The 21,511-nt window shown below is 35.1% G+C and overlaps 1 annotated feature.

Moving 5' to 3' along the window:
- Positions 287 to 336: an enhancer, noted in NCBI's record as "active region_20710". NCBI's record gives its function as "activates an Ori minimal core promoter by ATAC-STARR-seq in GM12878 lymphoblastoid cells {active_cell/tissue: GM12878}" and the evidence as "EXISTENCE:reporter gene assay evidence [ECO:0000049][PMID:35858748]".

Raw genomic sequence — 21,511 nt, 5'->3', positions numbered from 1 at the left:
CGGTTTGTAAGGGCTCCACAATTGGCCCTTCATTGGAAAATTGCTCTTAGCTGATGAGAGCCACGTCCTTCCCTTGGGTAACACAGCCAGTGACTGACTCATACAAGGATGCAAAAGGCCAACCCCCTTGCCTCAGAGGCCAAAAATGCTCATGTGGTTTAGGTTTCAGAACAATTCACCTTGCACATAAGGACATGGCTGGGTTTTACTTGAGACCACATCCTTGTACTGCTCTTTCCCCTTCTCTGTCTTGCCTCACACCCTTCCTTAGAGGCTAGTCCTAAACAGCATGCCTCAGAACAACTCTTGAATCCCTATCTCAGGCTCTACCCTGGAAAATCCAATCTAGAGATTCATAGTTTAGCTAAGATATCTTTGTATACTCCTTTAAATATTAAGTTTCTAAATGGCAATCTAACTCTGTGTTCCGAGCACTTAACATGGTTCTTGGCATGTATATACCCATGTTTATTCAAGGTAAATATTATCTTATGATCAATTTTAATCTGTTAATAATGTTTATTTTATTTGTATCCTCTATTTTCTTTTCCATTAAACCTGCATTATATGGCATTTTAGAAATTCATACAGGCATTAAGCCCTTTAAGGAAACAAGTTGATAAATAGATAGCATTTAAAACCAATTTACCAATAATGAATCTCTTTGTACTTTTATTTAACTGGAGTCTCAATCATGCTCCATATATAGTTATTTGACTACTTAAATGTTCATTTAACTAGATATTTTCATTACAAATTGATAGACTTTTTAGAATATATATCAAGATAAAATTTGAGGCATGTAAGTTATTTTAAATTTTTTCCTATTCTGTCAGTATTTACAATGTGCATCACTCTCAATTTAGCATTCCCACTTGTAGGGTATTTTGCAGAAAAAAACACTTTCCCAATGTGCATGAAAATTCATGTACAAAATATTTATTGTAGCACTGTTTATATGATGAAAAAATCTTAAAGATACATTTTCTAGTGAAAGAATCAGGACATAGAACATTGCAACAGAAAATATGTACCACATTGTATAAAATTCAGACTATATAACTAAATATTTACACATCCATAGCACATATACACATCTATGTGTTAAATGTATAGACAAAGGTTTGGGTAAAATTCACGTCAATTTAATAAAAATAGTTACCTTTGATGAGGGGCATGGAATTTGGAGAGTCTGGTGAAAGGAAATTTCTTGTTATTTTACATGCTTATGTATTGCTTTTTTTTTTCACAAAGAAAGTATATTTATATACTACTTCTTTAAAAAAAACTTCAAAAACATAGATAGTTGTGGGGAAAAGAGTAAAAATTACCTTAAATGAAAAAAAGAAACTAATGACCTTTTATTGTCCTTGTCAAATTCTTTCATTTTCTAAAACATTTCTCTTCTTCCTCTGAATTCCTCCATACTTAATTAAGTATGTATCATTCTTAGGGCATTTATTCAATTCAAAAATATTTATTAAATTTCTACTAGATTCAATTATGAAAATATATTATTCCTATCTCAAGGAATTCACAATTAAGAGAAAGAACTCCATTAACAATAAAGCAATGACCAAAAGCTAAACTATGGTAAACTTGAATGCAATGTTGTGGACCTTTGGGAGGCAGAATTTTAAGATGTCCCCCAAGATTCTTGATTGGTTTGTTACTGGCTTTGACCAATGGGAAGCACATGCAGGAGATGGGAGAGTGAGAGGAAAGATTCAGGTATTTCTTTCCCATTTCCTTTTTGCTATCACCCTGCTATTGAGCATACACTATGTGTCAGGCATTACCCATACATATTACATACTTAAACTTCATTTCATTTTCATAACATACCATTGAAGTGGCAGTTATTATTATACACATTTTAAAAATGGCATTAGGTAAATTGCTGTAGGTCATGGAGAGAAAAAATGGTGGAGTCAGAATTTTAACTCAGGTAACCTGACTCCAGAACTAATCACTATCACATACTGTAATCATCTTGGATAACCTGAATTTGTGACCTTAGGGAGGAAAGATAAGTTTTACTCTTGAATACACTTATTAGGATCTCAAAAAAAAAAAACAGATTTTACCATTAATGTTGGGTTCTTTCCCACACTTGATTATTTTTCTGTACTTGTCATAGAAATAGATGATATTAGATATATTTTGAAATCTTACCCATTGTTGCAATACAATATGAAACTCATATTAACAACTTGCACTGCATCCATATCACTTCATGGTAACACTCAAACTAGGAAAAGAAGGGAACTTCCTCAACCTGATAAAAGGCACCTCAACCTGATAAAAACATCACAATTAATGGTGAAAGACTGCAAGTATTCCCCCTAAGATCAGACGCAAGGCAAGGTTATCCACTCTCTCCAACTTTATTCAAATTGTACTAAAGTTTCTAGCCAGGGCAATTAGGCAAGAAAAGGAAATAAAAAATATCTAGATTGGAAAGGAAAAAGTAAAATTATCTCCAATTGCAGATAATATAATCTTCTATAAAGAAAATTCTAAACAATGAACAAGAACACTGAGTCGTTAGAGCTAATCAATAAGTCAGCAAGGTTGCAGAATATAAGATCAGTATACAAATATCAGTGGTCTTCTCTATACCACAATAAATAATCCAAAAATGAAATTAAAATAAGTTCATTTATGATACAATAAAAAATATTTAAATACTTGGGAGTATATTTAACAAAAGTGCCAGATTTGTACACTGAAAATTTCAAAACATCATTGAAAGAAATTAAGGAAGTTTAAATAAATAAAAAGACATCTCATGTTCTTGGATTGGAAAACTTAAATGGCATAAGTATTATGAATTGGAAAATTTAAATGGCATAATTATTATGGATTGGAAAACTTAAATGGCACAAATGGCATAAATGATATTTAAAACTTAAATATTATTTAAATGGCAATAATCTGTAAATTGACCTCCTGATTCAATATAATTCTGATTAAAATCTGGCTGTCATTTTTGCAGAAATTGACAAGCTCTTCTTAAAATGTATATGGAAGGACAAATGACTCAGAATAACCAAAACGGTCCTTTAAAAGAACAAGACCAGGCACTGTGGCTCACACCTGTAATCCCATAACTCTGGGAGGCTGAGGCAGGAGGATCACTTGAGGTCAGGGGTTCAAGATCACTCTGCATGATACAGAGAGACCCCACTACAGATAGAGATTCCCCTGAGGCAAATGCAAGTCAAAACTATAATAAGATACTACTTCACACACACTAAGATTGCTATCATGAAACAGACAGACAATATCAAGTGTTGGAGAGGATGGAGAAAAATTAGAACACTCATACATTGGTAGTGGGAATGTAAAATATTGCAGCTGCTTTGATAAACAGTCAAGCAGTTCCTGAAGTGCTTAAGCATAGAATTACCATATGGCCCAGCAATTACTTCCACACCTAAGTACATACCGAAAATAATTGAAAATACATGTTCACATAAAAACTTTTACATAATGTTTATAGCATTACGCACAATAGCCAAAAAATAGAAACAACCCAAATGCACATAACCAATGAATGGATAAACAAAATGCAGTATATTCACACAGCCATATTATTCAGCCACAAAAAGGAATAAAGTGCTGATCCTTGCTACAACATTGATTAACTTTGAAAACAGTATGCCAAGTGAAAGGAGCTGAACACAAAATACTACATATTGCATGATTAGATTTATGTAAAATGTCCAGAATGGGCAAATTCATAAAGATATAAAATAGATTATTGGTTGCCAGGAACTAGGGGAATTGGGAATTAAAGAGTGATCGCTATTGGGTTTAAAGTTCCTTTTCAGGGTGATATTATTCTGCAATCAGATAGTGGTAATTGTTGTACAATCTGTGAATATACTTTAAAAGCCACAGAATTGTATACTTTAAGAGAACTAATTTTATGGTAAAGAATATCTTACTTAAAAATACGTATTATGTAAATTACATGGAAATAAGATTCATGTGTAAATGGGTTATACTGATATATAGTAGGTATTCAACAAATATTTGTTGAAAAAAATGAATGCATAGTAACTCTGCTTAAGAATAGAAATTATAGAAAACTACAATATATGAAGCATAATTAAGAATTTAATCATAAGTAGCCAAGATCAGAACACTAGAAATAGAAATATTTTGAGAATGACAACTGTTACAGAGTTTTAAACCATTTTCCCTTTTAAAAGTACCAATTTTTTTCTGAATAACTCAATGTAGAATCACGAAGTAATATCTAAATACGGTGTTGCCAAAAATTACTTGCTAAGGGTTATTTGAAATGGACGTTTAATGGAGTAGACCCCTTAAGGTTCTATTTAAGAATTGTGGTTTTTGCAAAGGTTTTAAGTTAAAATGAAATTTTAGGAGAGATTAATCAATTCTGACTTGTTACAAAAGACTGTAATCATGCTAAACCCTGAATTGTTCTCCAGCGTATTCTGTACCTAAAACTGACAAAAACAGACTTTTTTCTTTCACCTTTCAGTTAGGACACGTATTTTAAGAGATGGTTATATTTATTCCAAGTTTATTTAGCTAAATATAGTGATCAATTTTTACTTCATTTGAGATGAATATGACAGAAAATGGAAGCTTCGTAAAGCTGCTCTTTATTTCACTTCTAACCTCTTTAGTTTCTTTAAAAGTGATCTTATTTGGGGCGTGTGTGCATGTCATATAAATATATGTGTTTATATCTATGTAGATATATACTAATCTCTTTGTAGATGTGCAAATATCTATGAATCATCAAATTTACTGGTACATGTTTAGGCAATTACAAGTAAGTTAATCATACCAGTTATAAATTTCAAAGAAGAAGGATAATAAAATGTTAACTCTAAATTGCAGGTTATAACTTTAAAAAGATATATTTTTAGGCTGTGATACTGCTAGATTAGTCAGAGTATTGTGTTAAAATTGACAACCAACTTGACTTAAGCAATGAGTATATGTTCTAATTAAGCTTAATGTTCTTGGTGGTAAAAGAGCATTTTCTTAGTATATGTTAAACAGTAGTGAGATGCACTAATGCAATTGCTCTGGAGTAAATACAATTTTGGTATCAATGTCTTAACTTCATAAACAAGTGAGAACAAATGAACACACCTAATCTAACCTGGCTTTGATGATAATTTGCAGAGTGGTTTTTATAACTAATCCACTATATACACCTATTTGCTTGCCAGATTTTCAAGTGTCTCCAAGTTATCTTGAAATTCGTGATAGCATTCATTCTTTCTGTTAGGGCATTGCTCTCCTTAGTGACATCTTCAGATTCAGAGATCACAATCATTTCACTAATAACAGACATCTTTTCCTAGGTATTATACTTTCCTACAAAAAGAATATAATGGTGCCACCAAAAGAGGATTGCTGCGGCCTAAATACAAACATAATTGGAAAAAACAAGTATACACTTAAAAATCCATAAATATTCCTAGGAGGACACCTCCTCAAACCCACTCATTCTGTAAACTAACAAGCAGGGAGACAGGCACAAGGGCACAGATGTAACAACCAGATCCAAGCTCAAGTCCTGGCATCTACCCTTGCATATAACTCCCACAGCTGTGTCTAATACGCATGTCATTTCTGTAGTAAGTCCTCTCTTAAATGTGATGAAGAACGTACCAAAGAGTTTCCTGTCTTTTTCTTGAAGACATATGTGCTGTTTTAATTGATTTTATAGTACCAATATGGTATCATCAACATAACCCTAATGAAAGAGATATTTCTCATGGTCATGGCAACTTACAAAATAAAACTTTTCTCATTTCTCCAAAAACACTTCTAGAGTCTGGCAATAAGCAGGCTTTCTATTTGCATAGTTGCCATCTCAATGTGTCCACAGCTTTGATCTCTGCTTTTCTTACTTAACATCGTAGCACATATTCTCTGTTACTATGCAGATAAAATTATATATACATTTTATATTTTTTATCTTTAAAAGATACCTAATATTTTAGTATGCTGACATGCCCAGAGTAATTTAGCTATTCCTATAAGTGGACATTTAAGTTGCTTATATTTTTCCATTTTTTAAAAGATAGTGCTGCAATGAATATATTTCTGAGTTTTTCCTTATAAATTTTATATTATTACCTTAAATTTGATATGCAGATATGGATTAACCTGATGAACTGTGTATAGTTTAAATTATTCTTGATTCTTATTATCATATTGCTTCCCAAAAGGGTTCTTCCCATTAAAATAGTTCTAATAATACATAAGGATATTTTTCATCAGATCCTCACCTACAGCATGTATTATTACTAAAACATTTTTAAATAGTCCAAATACTGTAATTTATATTAATTTATTTATGTGTTCAAGTTTGCTAAATTAGGTTATTTTTCTGTATGTTTTTTATGTGTTTATGGATTTGTTACCTCCTAAATATCAATTGTCGTCTTCCTTGATTCATTAATATAAATATATTTATGTTAATCTTACATTTAATTTTTTTTTTTTTTTTGAGATGAAGTATTGCTCTCTCACCCAGGCTGGAGTGCAGTGGCGCGATCTCACTCACTGCAAGCTCCACCTCCCGGGTTCACGCCATTCTTCTGCCTCAGCCTCCCGAGTAGCTGGAACTACAGGTGCCCGCCACGACATCCAGCTAATTTTTATATTTTTAGTAGAGATGAGATTTCACTGTGTTGGCTAGGCTGATCTCGAACTCCTGACCTCAAGTGATCCACCCGCCTAGGCCTCCCAAAGTGCTGAGATTACAGGCGTGAGCCACCGCACCTGGTCAGCTCTGCAGCTTTTTACTGTTTCTAGGGGTCCTGTACCCTAACACATACGAAGATCCTTTGTGCATCAGAGGAGGTCTGGAGTTTGTGTACATACTCGGCTAGGGCAAGTGGAAAGACCTCAGGCTTTGATAAAGTGGACCACCCTCATGGATTCTCAAACCAATTCAGTGAAATTTTCTGGGGATAGTATGAAAATCTTAAAAGCGATCCGTATACTCCATCCTTTTTTCTTTTTCCCACTTCTCCTGCAAAGATGACAATTCACAGGCATTTCTTGTCTCCCATGAAACTAACCATGTAAGAATATGGCCATACATTGTTATGTTTAAAATGCAATGGCTGCGGAAGTGTTTTGAACACTGAGATGCATCACACACACTAGTTTTTACTTCTGCCTTTTGTGTTACTTCTGTGCTAGAGGTAATGAAATGTGCTCAGCCGCCTACACATTCTCTTTTTACATAAGCTAGACAATACGACCAGATGAGCAGCAGCTTACACTGTAGCTGTGGAAATTGAAATCAAATTATCCTCCTTTATATGGCAATTAGAAAAGCTAACTTTATAGAGGAGTTAACTTTACACGGCACCGTATCTGTTTTCATTCATTTTTTAAAAAACAAAGTAAAATAACTTTACTGTAAATGTGTTTACAACATGAAGTGTTTGGAAGATTTCACTCATATCCTTTAAGGTGGTCAAGTATCGTATGAGAGAAAAGAGTGGTTACATCTTGCGGGGCATGATCTAAATTAAAATTTCATTTTCTAAATTTGAATAATGAGGAAAATTCTTCGAAAACGAAATGGAACAGAGAAAGCTTAATTATTAATCATCAACACCAAAAAAATAAATAAATGCAGTAATTACTGTATTGGGTTAATTTTAAGAAATATAGAAAATAATGTATAATTTTAGAATCCATAAAAGTGTATGTGTTTCCAAATTGGAAACGCATATGGATAGTGCAATAACAATAATGAATTACACCTCTCAACTTTATCACATTTTGGCCTTTTCTATTCTATTGTCTGAGATGAGTCTTCTTATGGGCAGATGGGTAAAATATTTTTAATATTAATTAGACTTCTGGTAAGTTTTCTTAGGAAAAACTTACATGTAGACATAAATTTAAAAGTACACTTCAGACGTGAAGGTATTTAGAGACCAGCATGCATAATTGTACTCGAATATTCTTTTTGAAAACTGTGGGTCGGGGCAGTGGCTTGCGCCTGTAATCCCAACACTTTGGGAGGCCAAGACAGAAGAATAGCTTGAGCCAGGAGTTGAAGAACAGCCTGGGTAATATAATGAGACCCCATCTCTACAAAAAAGAAAAAAAATAAAATTAGTTGGGCGTGGTAGTGTGTGCCTGTAGTCCTAGCTACTCAGGAGGCTGAGGTGGGAGAATTGCTTGAGCATGGGAAGTGGAGGCTGCATTGAGCCATGATCATGCCACTGCACTCCAGCTTGGGTGACAGAACAAGACTCTATTTCCAGAGAAAAAAAGAAAGAGAAGAAAGAAAGAAAGAGAGAGAGGAGGGAGAGAGGGAAGGAAGGAAGGGAGGGAGGAAGGAAGGAAGGAAGGAAGGAAGGAAGGAAGGAAGGAAAGAAAAACTGTGCAATATAGACTGTGATTAGGAATCAAGACAAGAAAAAATTATCACTATTGCATAGGTAGTTCTATTGCAGACAAATGAGCTAGATTTATGCTAGCTATATCTCACTCCACATATCTAGTCACAAAACACCTATAAATTTTTTCACTTCACAAAAGAAATATTCCTCCTTATTACTTCCTACAAATGAAAATTCAAGTGATGGAAATAACCTGAAAGCTTTAACTGCAGACTTCCTTTTAGCTCTAAGATTATGTGGACTCTAATTGGCAAGTGTGTTGTGAAAATGTAATGAATACCAGGAGCAGAAATAATCAGTTCCATCATTCTCAGCCTTATTTAAACAATGGTTTATACAGTGACATGGGCAGCAAGAAATCTGTTCTCCTCCTCCAGCTGGAATAGTCACGCTGAGCTGATCTATTTAATAATGACTGACTAAATATTTACAACAAGTTGCTTTTGTTTTAAAGCTCAGAGTCAAGATATTTAGAAACTATGATGAGTTTATTTCCAGAGGTCACAAATTAACATTCTTGACTTTAGGGAAAGATAACCATATACGGTATAACATTTTTATTCATGGTGGTAATATATCACAGGACAGATCCTGATTGGGTGTGAAATATTGAGCTCTTCTCTGCCAAAGTTTACCAAATAGTTAGAAATCATTTTCATTGTTAATTTGTTTAATGCTTAAACTGCTATTTGTTCTCTTTAATACATACTGAAGATTATAAAATTTGAACTCATTAATCGGCAATCATGTTAAAGCAGCATTGTCGGATTGCCATCTAGTATCTGAATCAGATTTCATGAAAAGGTGATTTTGTTCTTTTCAATCCTATAGAAAAAAAGGTAAAATCCTATAGAAAAAAAGGTAAAACTATACATAACGATTTCATTTTTTGTAATGTGGTTTTTACAGGAAGAAGCACTTAATGAAGAGAATCCCAAGAATCAAGAGATTGAGCTTTTCACAATAACCTACCACATATAAGGTAGAGAGAAATATGTGTTTCAGCACAGTTACCAGACACTGCAGAGACTGGGCCTCACCGTCGCTCCAGCCCCAAATTTTTGGGCTTCTCACTTTCTTTCTTGTGCTTTAACAGCATCTTCTTCCCTGGTCCATAACATGCAACTCCCCCTTTCACTTCAAGGAGCCTGTAGGTCCTGTCTCTCTCTCTCTCTCTCTCTCTCTCTCTCTCTCTCTCTCTCTCTCTCTCTCTCTCTCTTTCTCTATCTCTCTCTCTCAATAACTTCTTCCTTCACGGATTACCCCCCAAGAAGGATGTAAGTCACTCTCCCAAGTATGTGACTCATGTGTATGTGCAATTGTGTGAAATAAAACATATACAGAGAAGTACACGCAACCAAAAGGTATACTTTAATGATGCAGTTTCACTCTTAATAGTATTGATGAACACAAAGTATTTATTTTAATGTACTCCAGTTTGTAATCTTTAATGTGTTTCTGTGTTCTATTTCATAAACTTTTCTCTACCCAATGCTATAGGCTGAATGTTTATGCCCCCTTGTCTCCAAATTCATATGTTAAAACTTAGTTCTAAATGTGATGGTTTGGATGTTTGTTTCTTACAAATCTCATTTTGAAATGTGATTCCCCAGTGTTGAAGATGGGGCCTTGTCGGAGGTGTTTGTGTCATGGGAGTGGAGCCCTCATGAATGGCTTGGTGCCCTCCCTGTAGTAATGAGTGAGTTCTCACTCTATTCATGCAAGAGCTGGTTGTTTAAAGAGCCTGGAACCTCTCTTGCTCCCTCTCTTACATGTGACACACTTGCTCCTCCTTCACCTTCTGCCATGATTGTTGGCTTCCTAAGGCCTTCACCAGAAGCAGATGCTAGCACCATGTTTCTTGTACATCTGTAAAACCATAAACCAAAATAAATCCCTTTTCTTTATAATTTACCCAGAATCAGGTCTTCCTTTCTAGCAATGCAAAACAGACTAACACAGATGGTATTAGGAGATAAGGTCGTGGGAGATGATTAGGTCATGAGGGAAGAGCTAAGAGCTCTCATGAATGGGATTAATGACCTTATCCAAGAGGCCTTAGAGAGCTCCTTTGCCTTTTTTTGCCATGAAAGAACACAGTGAGAAGGCACAATGAGAAGGAACCAAAAAGTGGGCCCTCAAAAGACAGTAAATCAGCCAGTGCCTTAATCTTGGATTTCCCAGCATCTAAGCCTGTGAGAAATAAATACAGCATCTGTTGTTTATAAGTCCCTCAGCCTACAGTAGTTTGTTATAGCAGCCCAAACAAAGACACCCAAAGTGATGAAGATATTCTTTTATGTTGCTTTCTAAAATATTGTTTTGCCTTTTGCCAACAGCTTTCCCTTTCACAATTCAGAATTATTTTTTGTATTTGTACTTTTATAGTTGCTGTGAGATAGAAGTCAACATCTTAGGCAGAGAGAATAGCTAACACTAAGACAGCTGTCAAGATCCTGAGTCTAAGGAGGAAGAGGAAGAAGAGGAGGCTGGAGCCAGTGAATGAGGCAAGAGGGAGAGGAAATGAGGTGTAGAGGCAGCCATTGCCACCCACTGAAGAACCTCTTTGACTTTGGTAACCTTTTTAAATTTTGTTCTAAATGTATGGGAAGCTATTTGAGAATTGGGAACAGGTGTGTGATGTGGTAAGCTTTAGCTCACTAAGAATCACTGACTACTGTGAGAATAATTAACAGAGATGCACAAGTAAATGCAGGTGAACCAGTTAGGAGGCTTCTGCACTTTGCCAGGTGAGAGATAATGGAGGCTTGGACTGGGATTCCAACAGTGGAGGTGGTGAACCATGAACAGACTTGAGGTTTGTTCTGAAAGTAAAGTTAACAAGATTTTCTGATAGATCAGATATAGGCTTAAGAGAGAAAAAGGTATCAAATACGATTCCAAGATGATGATATTTACCAAAATAAGAAAAACATCAGTTAACATTTTGTTGGCTCAACAAAACTCTGATCCAGTTGTGAATGTTGCCAGAAGTAGTCTATATCACCAATTTTGGACTTAATGATAAAAAAATTACCTTGTATTTGATAATGCCTTCCTAGTTAATGTATAAGCTTATCAGTTCCCATATATTAAAGTTATTATAAAAAATAACTTTTAGATATTTGCCAAGCATTCTCATAGGCACTATTCATTCAATCAACCCCTTGAAAGGTTGGCTGAGCCATTAGCCCCCCTTATTTTCAGCCGAGGAAGAGTAAATACAATATTTAATAGGTAGCGAAGTTGAATCTTCAACTGTCTATGACTCTAGAATTCCTTTCTTCTTTTATATATCTTGTGTAACCTTAGTAACTGCAATATCAATGGCTAAGCACAAAACCACTAAGAAGATGTTTGCTAATTGGTTGATTGAACGGTACACACCTGTTATATCTGGGCAAAAAAGATTCTTAGTCAACTATCTACTGATTACACCAGGAAGGCAAAACCTAATTCTATTTCTTCTACTTGATGGTGTTATCTATTTTTAATTAAGTTTATCTAGAAATATTTAACTTATAAGCCTAAACATATTTTCTAATTAAAGTATATGAACATACCCTGGAGTTATATCCCAGCTAATTTTTCCTAATCTGTTTGTTTGAAGTCTCCTTAGTGAGGAAGTGTGAATTGAAGCATGAATGATAAAGAACGAAATGTTGTTTCTACCTGAACTTAAAAATTCAACAGAAAGAACTCATCAACAGCAATTAGTGTCAAAACCCAGATGGTCAGAAGAGACAGACCATCACCTGATTTTATTAATTTATTAAGGAAACGTTTAACGTTGAGATGGGTCTTCAGAAATGTACCCCAAATATGTTATTTTTCCAATAGGCTAATTTAATTAATTCCAACTGGGTTAATTTGAACACATTATCATTGTTTATCTAAAGAGAAAGAACAGGTACAATAAGTTCTAATATAGTGGAGTGAACACAAGACTGAACCCTTTAAATAATTAACGTGAATTCAAGTAACAATAGTTTAAAATCTGAACATGTTAAATTGTCCCCTTAGAGTAAAAATAAAAATAAACTTGTAATACCTGGCATTTGTATAGTGCTTTATAAATTCCATAAAGTGCTTGTACATATTCTGATTGGATATTTACTATCACCCTTAATTATATCCATAGTTTACATTCAATTGAATGATTGTGCCAGGCATCATGCTCAATGTTTTACATACATTATCTTATTTCACTTTTTTCTAATAACTTACAAGTTAGGTTAGTTAAGTAAGGTTTTTGTTGACCAGACAAATATATACTGTCTAACTTAAACAATATTAAAAATATGCTAATTTTAAAGGCTGGAACTCAGACAAATTGAAGCACTTTCTTTGAAAGCATCTGGTTCCAATGCTTTTTCAGGTTTTATCACATTCTGTCCAAGGTTCACATTTTTATGACAGTCTGTCTGGCCAGACTTGGAGTTTGTACCCATTCTCTTGTCCAGATGTTTCAATCTGATTAAGACTAATTTCTGAGCGTGGAAGGTGGAAATAAAAGAAGATTGCTTTACCTGTAACAACTTTGGCATTGACATAGAAACTAAAGCATACCATATAACATTTAAAGGGAAAAAACACATGAAAAGTTAATGCTACCTCCCAGATTTCCAGAGTCAGTAGAGAGAAAAGAGGAGAAATCTCAGGCTATACGCACAAGGCAAAGAAGAGGTCGGGTGGCTCCTGCAGCCTTTAAGTCCCTAAGAAGCTAGGTCAATCTCGATAGTCACCAAGAAACAGACCTTCTGACAGAGAGTCCAGCAGATTTAATAGTAGTGGGACATCTGGGGGCTTCACTCTGGTAGGAGTGAAGCCAGATTTAGGCTTGTAAATAAGCTTGAGTTGGGGGTTGATGTGCAAGTCCAATGTCTGCTCTGGAGAGATGCTCATAGGGCCCTCTCTTCTTTGGTTAACATTCTATGAAGGAAATACAACTGCCAAGAAAGAATCAACAAATACGCGAGAAAGCTTTTGAGAGAAGGAAAGTAGTTGGGAAGGGTGCATGTTTTGGCGTGGGGATATGGTGAGCCTGCTGTCAAGGGAAGAAGGCCGCTGGTAGCAGCAGAAAAAGGCATAGTAAAATAAAGTTCTGTTGCTTCCCTTGCCCACTGTGTTCAATTATTGGGAAAATCATCAATAGTTCTCTTGTTTCAGAACTCTATGGCAACTACCACTGGGGCTGGTGTTCTCAGAGGAACTATCAGAGCAGCACTGAAGCTTGGTTGGGCATAGGAGTTGATGAAAACACATGATACAGATTGGGGATACCTAATCCAAAAATCTGAAATTCAAAATGCTCCAAAATCTAAAACTTTTTTAGCATTAACATGACACCACAGGGGTGGATGAAATAGTGTGATTTCTGCTTTCTGATGGCTTAATCTATATGAACTTTGTTTCATGCACAAAATTATTTAAAAGATTGTATAAAACTACATTCAGGCTATGTATGTAAGGTGTATATGAAACATAAGTAAATTTTGTATTTAGACTTGAGTCCCATCTCTAAGATATCTCATTACATATATGCAAATATTCCAAAATCTGAGAAATCTGAATTCTGAAATCTGAAACACTTCTGGTCCCAAGCTTTTCAGACAAGAAATAGTCAACCTGTATCTACTATACATGGCATTTTGCCTTTTTATCCAGACCCCTCCAAACCCTAAGGGTTTGTGGACTACTTCCTAGGGTGACTGCCTCCTACCAATTCTGCATTTTCTTGAATATTTAGAGATAAGTAGCAGTTGCTCAGATGATAGCTAATAAGAGTGATTGCTGCCAGGCACGGTGGCTCACACCTGTAATCTCAGAACTTTGGGAAGCTGAGCCGGGTGGAATGCCTGAGTCTAGGAGTTTGAGACCAGCCTGGGCAACATGGCAAAACCCCGTTGTCTACTAAAAACACAAAAAATTAGTTGGATGTGGTGGTGTGCACCTGTAATCCCAGCTATTCGGGAGGTTGAGATGTGAGAATCACCTGAGCCCGGGAAGTCTAGGCTACAGTAAGCTGAGATTGCACCACTGCACTCCAGCCTGGGCAACTGAAGTGAGACCCTGTCTCAAAAAAAACAATGATTAATGAATTATGGTTTTCTGTCGGCTGAACCTTTCCTCCCTAAGAAATATCTCTTCTATTCTCTCTCAACTCATTAACTGACTAGACTGGGGTCTGGCCTTCAGATTTCCCTAATATTCACTCCAGACAGAATAGCTGATATCAAACCTCACAGGCTTGGTATCAAAATAGCTGGAAACCCAATAACTACAGCTACTTTGAGTAAAAATTAAAAACTGAAAAACATATACCATCTAAGGCAAATGCTATTATTATTAGCTAACCACACACTATTTACCCATAACTTCACATGTAAATTCAAACCACTGCATTAAAAAGCCCAAGTTAAAGCTTACACCAATGTGAAAGCTCTTACTAAAAAATGTGAATGCTGGTCAGGCAGAAAGAATGGAGTTGTGAAGAATGAAATTATGAAAATAAAGTGCCTACATGCCTGGCATAAAGTAGGCAGTTATTAGTTAGAATTTCTGTCTTACTTTTAGCAATCATACACTTTGTAAATAAAAAGCCAGGTTTGTGTCTTTTTAAAAAATTGGTACAGCTTCAGGCACTGTATAAGTTTTCTGAGGCTGCTGTAACAAATACCACAAACATAGTGGCTTGAAACAACAGAAATTTATTCTCTCACAGTTCTGGAGGCCAGCATCTGAAATCAGTATCATTGGTCTGAAATCAAAATGTGGCATGGCAGGTCTGTGCTCCTTCAGGAAGCTCCAGGGGAAAGAATCTGTGTCTTGCCTCTTCCAATTTCTGGTGACTGCTGACATTTCTTGGCTTGTGGCTGCATCACTCCTGTCTTCATGGAATCTCCCTTTGCTTTGTCTTCACACTCTCGTGTTTGTTTCAAATATCCCTCTGTTTGTCTCTTGTAAGGACACTTGTGATGACATTGGGTCCAGATAATCCAGAGTAATCTCCCATCTCAGGATTCTTAACTTGATAACCATGGACAAAGACCTTTTTTTTGCCATATAAGGTAAAATTCACAGGTACTAGGAATTAAGATGTGGGATGCACTTTTTAGCCTACACCACAAACACCTATGCTAACACATAGTAAGTTGTTAACAACTATTTGTAGAATAAAATCTCTTTCCAAAGCCTCTTTCCGCTGAGTCTTCTAGCTCTTATGATCTGTATTATTGATAGCACTTTGTCATATATTCATAGATATGTCACTTGTCATATACTCATAGATATGTTATTTTTACATCTTTTCTCTTCTTCCAGTGATCAGCTAACAAAAGTGCTTTTAAGCAACATGATTGTGAAGAAGACATCATAGACATGCTAGACTAGAAGCAGATATCAGTCTTAATATTTTGAGCCGTGATGGAAAGTAGCAAGCAACAAGGGGATGGTTCATTTAAAAATCTGTCACTTTCCAAGTGTACTCATGTTGGTAGTCATTCTTCCAATGAGGGACTAGGAAAAACACTGAGGACTTCTTTAACTTGGAAGTAAGTTCACTATCAGGAATTTAAGATACGAGATTGACATAGTGTGACTGAGTACCCTCATTTTTCTAAGAAAAGGAGAACGAGTTATTTTTTCTCTTCTTTTCTCTTCTCTGTTTTCCTTTGTTCCCCACTTCCTACATAGCCCTTTAGAAATGCAAATATAGCCTTTCACCTCCCCTTCACCAGACACTCCTTACAGGGCAGGTTCATCTAACTATGTGCTTAGAAGCTCCAGAGTGAGAAACTCTCACCCACCAGGAGACTGTCTCAAGAGAAAACAGTCAATTTACAACCCAAAGTATCCCTGCTATAAAATCCTCTCCTCTCTGGTGAGTTTTGGCCACCTTTACAACCTAGTTCTGCCCATGAAGATGCCAACTCAACCACCTGGTAGATAAGGCACCAAAGCAAGTATGTGGACCCCCAACTGCTCACTTCCTCCCCTGTATGCCATTTATGCCAGCATGCCAGGCCCCCTTTTAAAAGGATATGCTTTCTACTCCAAAAGTGAAGTGGTATCCTTAGGCAGGAAGCCTATACTTCCTCCCCTAAGCTAGTCTTGGAATAAAAAGCCACTTTCTTTATACCAGGCCTTGCTCTTGTTAATTGGACTCTGCAAGCGGCATGCGGCTGAACCTGTGTTTCAGTTACAATATCGTGGATGACACAAGAATGGTTTTCATAGTTGAAGAAATAATGTGGTTATCAAAGGGATGATATGGTAAGCAAGACTATCCTCACATGAAACATTAGCATAAATGACTGGGCTCTTGGAGGGAGGGTGTGTTCTGACTCGTGGATCGATATAGTCTCAATGATGGAGCTATGGGTGAGAAAGTGTTCAGTTTCCATACTCTTCAAAAAGGCTGACATAGTTGGGGAGCAGTTTATAGTCATCTCCCAAAACTGAAGACAATTATCATTTGCCTTTGTCTTCCCATATAGAACTGTTCACAAAGGGATAATGAAATTTTGTTGGAGATTTTAGTAGTCAGGGAAATGTTATAGCCATAGCTCTCACCATAAGCTAATAAATTAGAAGTCTACTTATTTATTAACCTTCCTCTTTCGAGCATTCTGAATCCATTCATTAAATCTGAAATATACTTATTGAGCATCTACCATGTGTCTTGTACCTAGTGAGGTGCTGGATATATAATGGAGAGCTTGATAGGCTTAGCCCCTTTTTGCATTCCTTTATACTAACAAAAATCACATCTTGTAAAACTTCCAACCCATTACAAAAAACAAATGAATAAGCTGATGGATTAGCAAAAATATACCACCAATAACAACATCAACAAAAGTATCTCCACCAAGTTCTTTAAAGTGTAACAACTAAGGTAACACTAAACTTGGCATCAACATTTATTCATTTATTTATTCACTGATAAGCATATAATGATAGAAAAATGATTCACAAGACCATAGTATATATTTGTTTAAGCTCTAAGAATATTGAAATAAATAAAAATATTGAATCAACCAAATAATAATATCTTGGTTATCAAAAATAACAGATATGATAAATAGGTAAACAATATAATTAATACAGATAAATAGGACAACATATCTTCAAATTTTTTATTACTGAAAAGAAATGAAAATAAGACTTAGTATAAAAGTGTACATTCAAAAAGAAGAAAGCTTCCAGAGTTTAAAGGCAGCATATAGTATTTTCAAATGACAGATTCTAATCAATAAAATTACAGAAGCTCCTTTATCAAAAAATGTTAAAAAGAGCTTCAAATTAATTAATTTCCACATGAGAATATATAGTGTAAGCCAAGATGCAGAAACTTTAACTGTAATTAAGAGCAATTAGATTACTATCTGAAGGAGAGCAGATGAAAAGCTACTTCTGGAGAACTGGTATGACTCACGTGACTAATTGATTATGTAACATGCATGACTCATTTTTCTTTCCTTCTACTAAGAGTGGAATAGATAGGCACTGACAGTGTCCCCACTAAATGAAACATTCTTCAACATTACATCTTTATGTCCAACTCACCCAAGACCTCTAGGTTTAATTGTAAACTGTTTCATTTAGCGTGTTGGAATCCTAGCCACCTCACACTCCCAAACACAAAAGTCCCTAAAATCACCACAGGAAGCAGAGCAGCTATCCTTGGTCCAAATGGCTTACCACTGTATGTATATTTATTGTCAATTGTTCTACTTGCTTGGGCATTTTATTTCACTTGGTAACCTGATTTCTTCCCCCATTACTCTGTTGCAGATTAGACAGAGTCAGAACTGCTAAAGGCACAGAAGTGACAGCTGGGAGTGAGGAAGGAGTCTAAGGAAACACCAAACAGAAAACCACAGTTGTCCATGGCACACTGGCCCCTGTATTTCAGAAATCTCCTAGGGCAATGTTGGATTGCAGCATTCTACTTGAAGTATAAGGAGCAGCCTGAGTCATCCAGAAAATGTCAACCAATGTTCAAATACTCCTTGTTCACTAAGACTTGGGAGTGGGTAATAAACTAATTTAAACTAGAAAGCTTTGTCATTTAAGGGAGGGGCCAGGCTTCACTCTAAAAAATTTGCTTGGTTGAACCTTCATTTCTTATAAAGCAGGTATGAGCTTTCACCAAAAGATACCTCAGAGGGCTCTGAGATAAAATGCTAAAATAGCATTTCCTGAAATCTAAAGTGCCTGAGTCCCAAGGATTATATTCATTATATGAAATAATTTTTAAAATGAGTTTATTATTCCAATGTACTTAATAATGATAATAGAAATAATAGCAGATAATGCTCACTATATGTCAAACACCCTGTTGATACCTTGTAGAGATTATCTGATTTACTCTCTCTACAACCCTTAGAAGGAGACATTATTATAATCTCTGAAGTACAAAAGAGGAAACTGATGCTTTCACTGGTTCAAGCCAGGTCTCACCGCAGACAAGGGGCAGAGCTGAATTTGAATTCTGGCTATTTGACTCAAGAAACAGAAGAAATATTTGATTCAAGTAGTTTTCTTTGTCATTGTACCGGGTATGTACATTTCTTTACCAAAAATATTAATCTGCTCTCTTAAAACTAAATCTATTCAGAAAACATATTTCTGTTATTTCAAAATGAAGTCGAATTTCTTGATTTAAAAAAATACATAAAGAATCAAAGAAGGTATGCAAGAGAAATTCATTCAGAATGTTAAGGTACACTTTCAGTTAATAGAAATCAATGAAAACGTAGTTTCATCAATTTCATGAATAGAATCACCAAACCTATTCAATTCTATGTAGCTTATTAAATTGCTTCATTCAATAAAACCTGTAACAAATAAACTTGCTAATTGATGGAATAAATAGCTATTTAGAAAATATGTGAATGATAGAAAAATAAAGACTTTCAGATTTATTGCTTTTGAATATAATACACATGCATAGTTATCAACATGCAGTTACTATACTATTTTTAACAAGATGTTTTGAAGTGCAGATTCTGTTTTGAAGTTCTGCTTCAAAAAAATATTTAATGGTTTTTATAGATGTCGATTTGTTTACAAAATAGGATAAGGCTCAAATAAGTTTAACCTCTTAGGTGCCCTGTCATCCAATTTCTTCTGCTCCTTTGCTTAGCAAATTCTTATACAAAGAAATTGCAAAGACATTTTCAATCCAGATTAAATTATCACATATTCCTAATTAGTGGAACTTGAGATTTTATGTGAGTTCTAATTCATAAAATATTTTGATGTCTTTGTGTAATTGTGCAATTACGCTTTGAATATCAAAGACAGAGAAAGATGGGTCACAGAAAGGATCTAGAATTATCTGGGAAGTCTGTGTTTATTTGAATGCTAAGGAAAATTTAAATCAATGTAATAGCTGCAAATTGCACTGATGATTCAGGCTCCTGTTTAGTTTGGTATTTTCAGGAAAACACAGTTACCTTAGCAACTAGTATATCACATGGGACATGCTGTAGCACGCAGAACGTCTCAAAGTCAAAAGCTTTTCCCTCTGGAAGACATCATACTAAGAAATAGGAAAATAAAGAAACCAAATCTTCCACTTAATGAGTTATGTTGTTTATCTCCTTGACAGGTAGAAAATAATTTATACTTAAATCAGTTTTTTATGCTATCCAAAATGATAATATTTATATTACATGGATAAAGAAAAAAACAAACTACATGCCCTAAGTGCACAAAGTAAGTCTTCAGTTGAACTGTCTGAATAAGTACATTGACTGACTTGTAAACCTCTGCAACTGAATTATCTCTTTCTTTGGAGAGGAGTAATATAAATAAGATCCTAAAAATGTTAAATAGTAAGCTATTATCACTAAACACTAAGAAATATAAGTTTTGTTTCCTGGTGGCAGTAACTCTAAAGTTACAAAATAATAGTGTGAGAATTTAAAACTATACTTTCACAAGTCTAAAACAGCCTAGTTGAGTCAAATATGAAATCAAACTGATTGCCATCTGCACTGTTATAGAGACTTAACTCATATTAATTCAAAGAAAAGTAAGTGGTTTATTTTTTTTAAATTCTCAAATGTGTACATTGTTGAGGAAACAAACATTTACTGCATGTCTCCCTAGTGCAAGAATTTTCCAGAAACAAGAAAGAAACGGTGACTGCCTTTGTAGTTTATGCTCTAGCTGGAAGAGACATACAAAACAAAGAAAGAAAGAAAAAGAAAGAAAGAAAGAAAGAAAGAAAGAAAGAAAGAAAGAAAGAAAGAAAGAAAGAAAGGAAGGAAGGAAGGAAGGAAGGAAGGAAGGAAGGAAGGAAGGAAGGAAGGGAAAGGAAGGGAGGAAAGAAAGGAAGAACAGAAAGAGAAAGAAAGAAACAGGTAAATTACATTGTGGGGACTGGCATGAAGAATATGGAACAGAACTCATCTTCCTCTACTTCTTTCTCTTCCCTTCCCTTCTGGACATTTCAGCCCTAAAACTATTCTATGGAGCAGAGCAATGTAGGGGGAGAAGGAGTTTGATCATTTAGTGTAGATTATCAGAGCCGGAACAGGGTGAGAACACCTGCAGTACAGAGGGACGGTGGCGACTGGAGACTGGTTACATATAGGAGAATTAATCATGTAAGAAAATACACTAGAAACCATAGAAGCCAGATTTCTCACCTCTGGAAAACCGAGTTACAATTAATAGAAAATGGGACAACTAGAATGAATCATGTACAACTGGATTGGAATGAAAACATGGCTTTCAATGTATTTGCAGATAAGTATAGAAATAAATAGGTAAATAGAAATATATTTTAGTAATATATAACAAATATATCTAATATCTAATATAGTTTTATATATAATACATAATTATATATTATGTGATTATATGATATATATAATTATATATTTTCTATATATTCCTTGGCTCTTTCCACTGAGAAGGCTCAAGCACCAATACCACAATAGCAATAAGCACTCTTGAAGCCCAGATTTTGGATTCTAAATACAATTTTCTGCCAAAAGAAAAGTCTCTTTGAAAAGATGGCTAATTCCAGGGCCTGGGTAGGGAAAGTACAAGATGAGTCCGGA

The sequence above is a fragment of the Homo sapiens genome, chromosome 3 (assembly GCF_000001405.40).
Source record: "Homo sapiens chromosome 3, GRCh38.p14 Primary Assembly".
Classification (NCBI taxonomy): Eukaryota; Metazoa; Chordata; class Mammalia; order Primates; family Hominidae; genus Homo; species Homo sapiens.
This window is presented reverse-complemented; position numbering and strand designations above follow the sequence as displayed.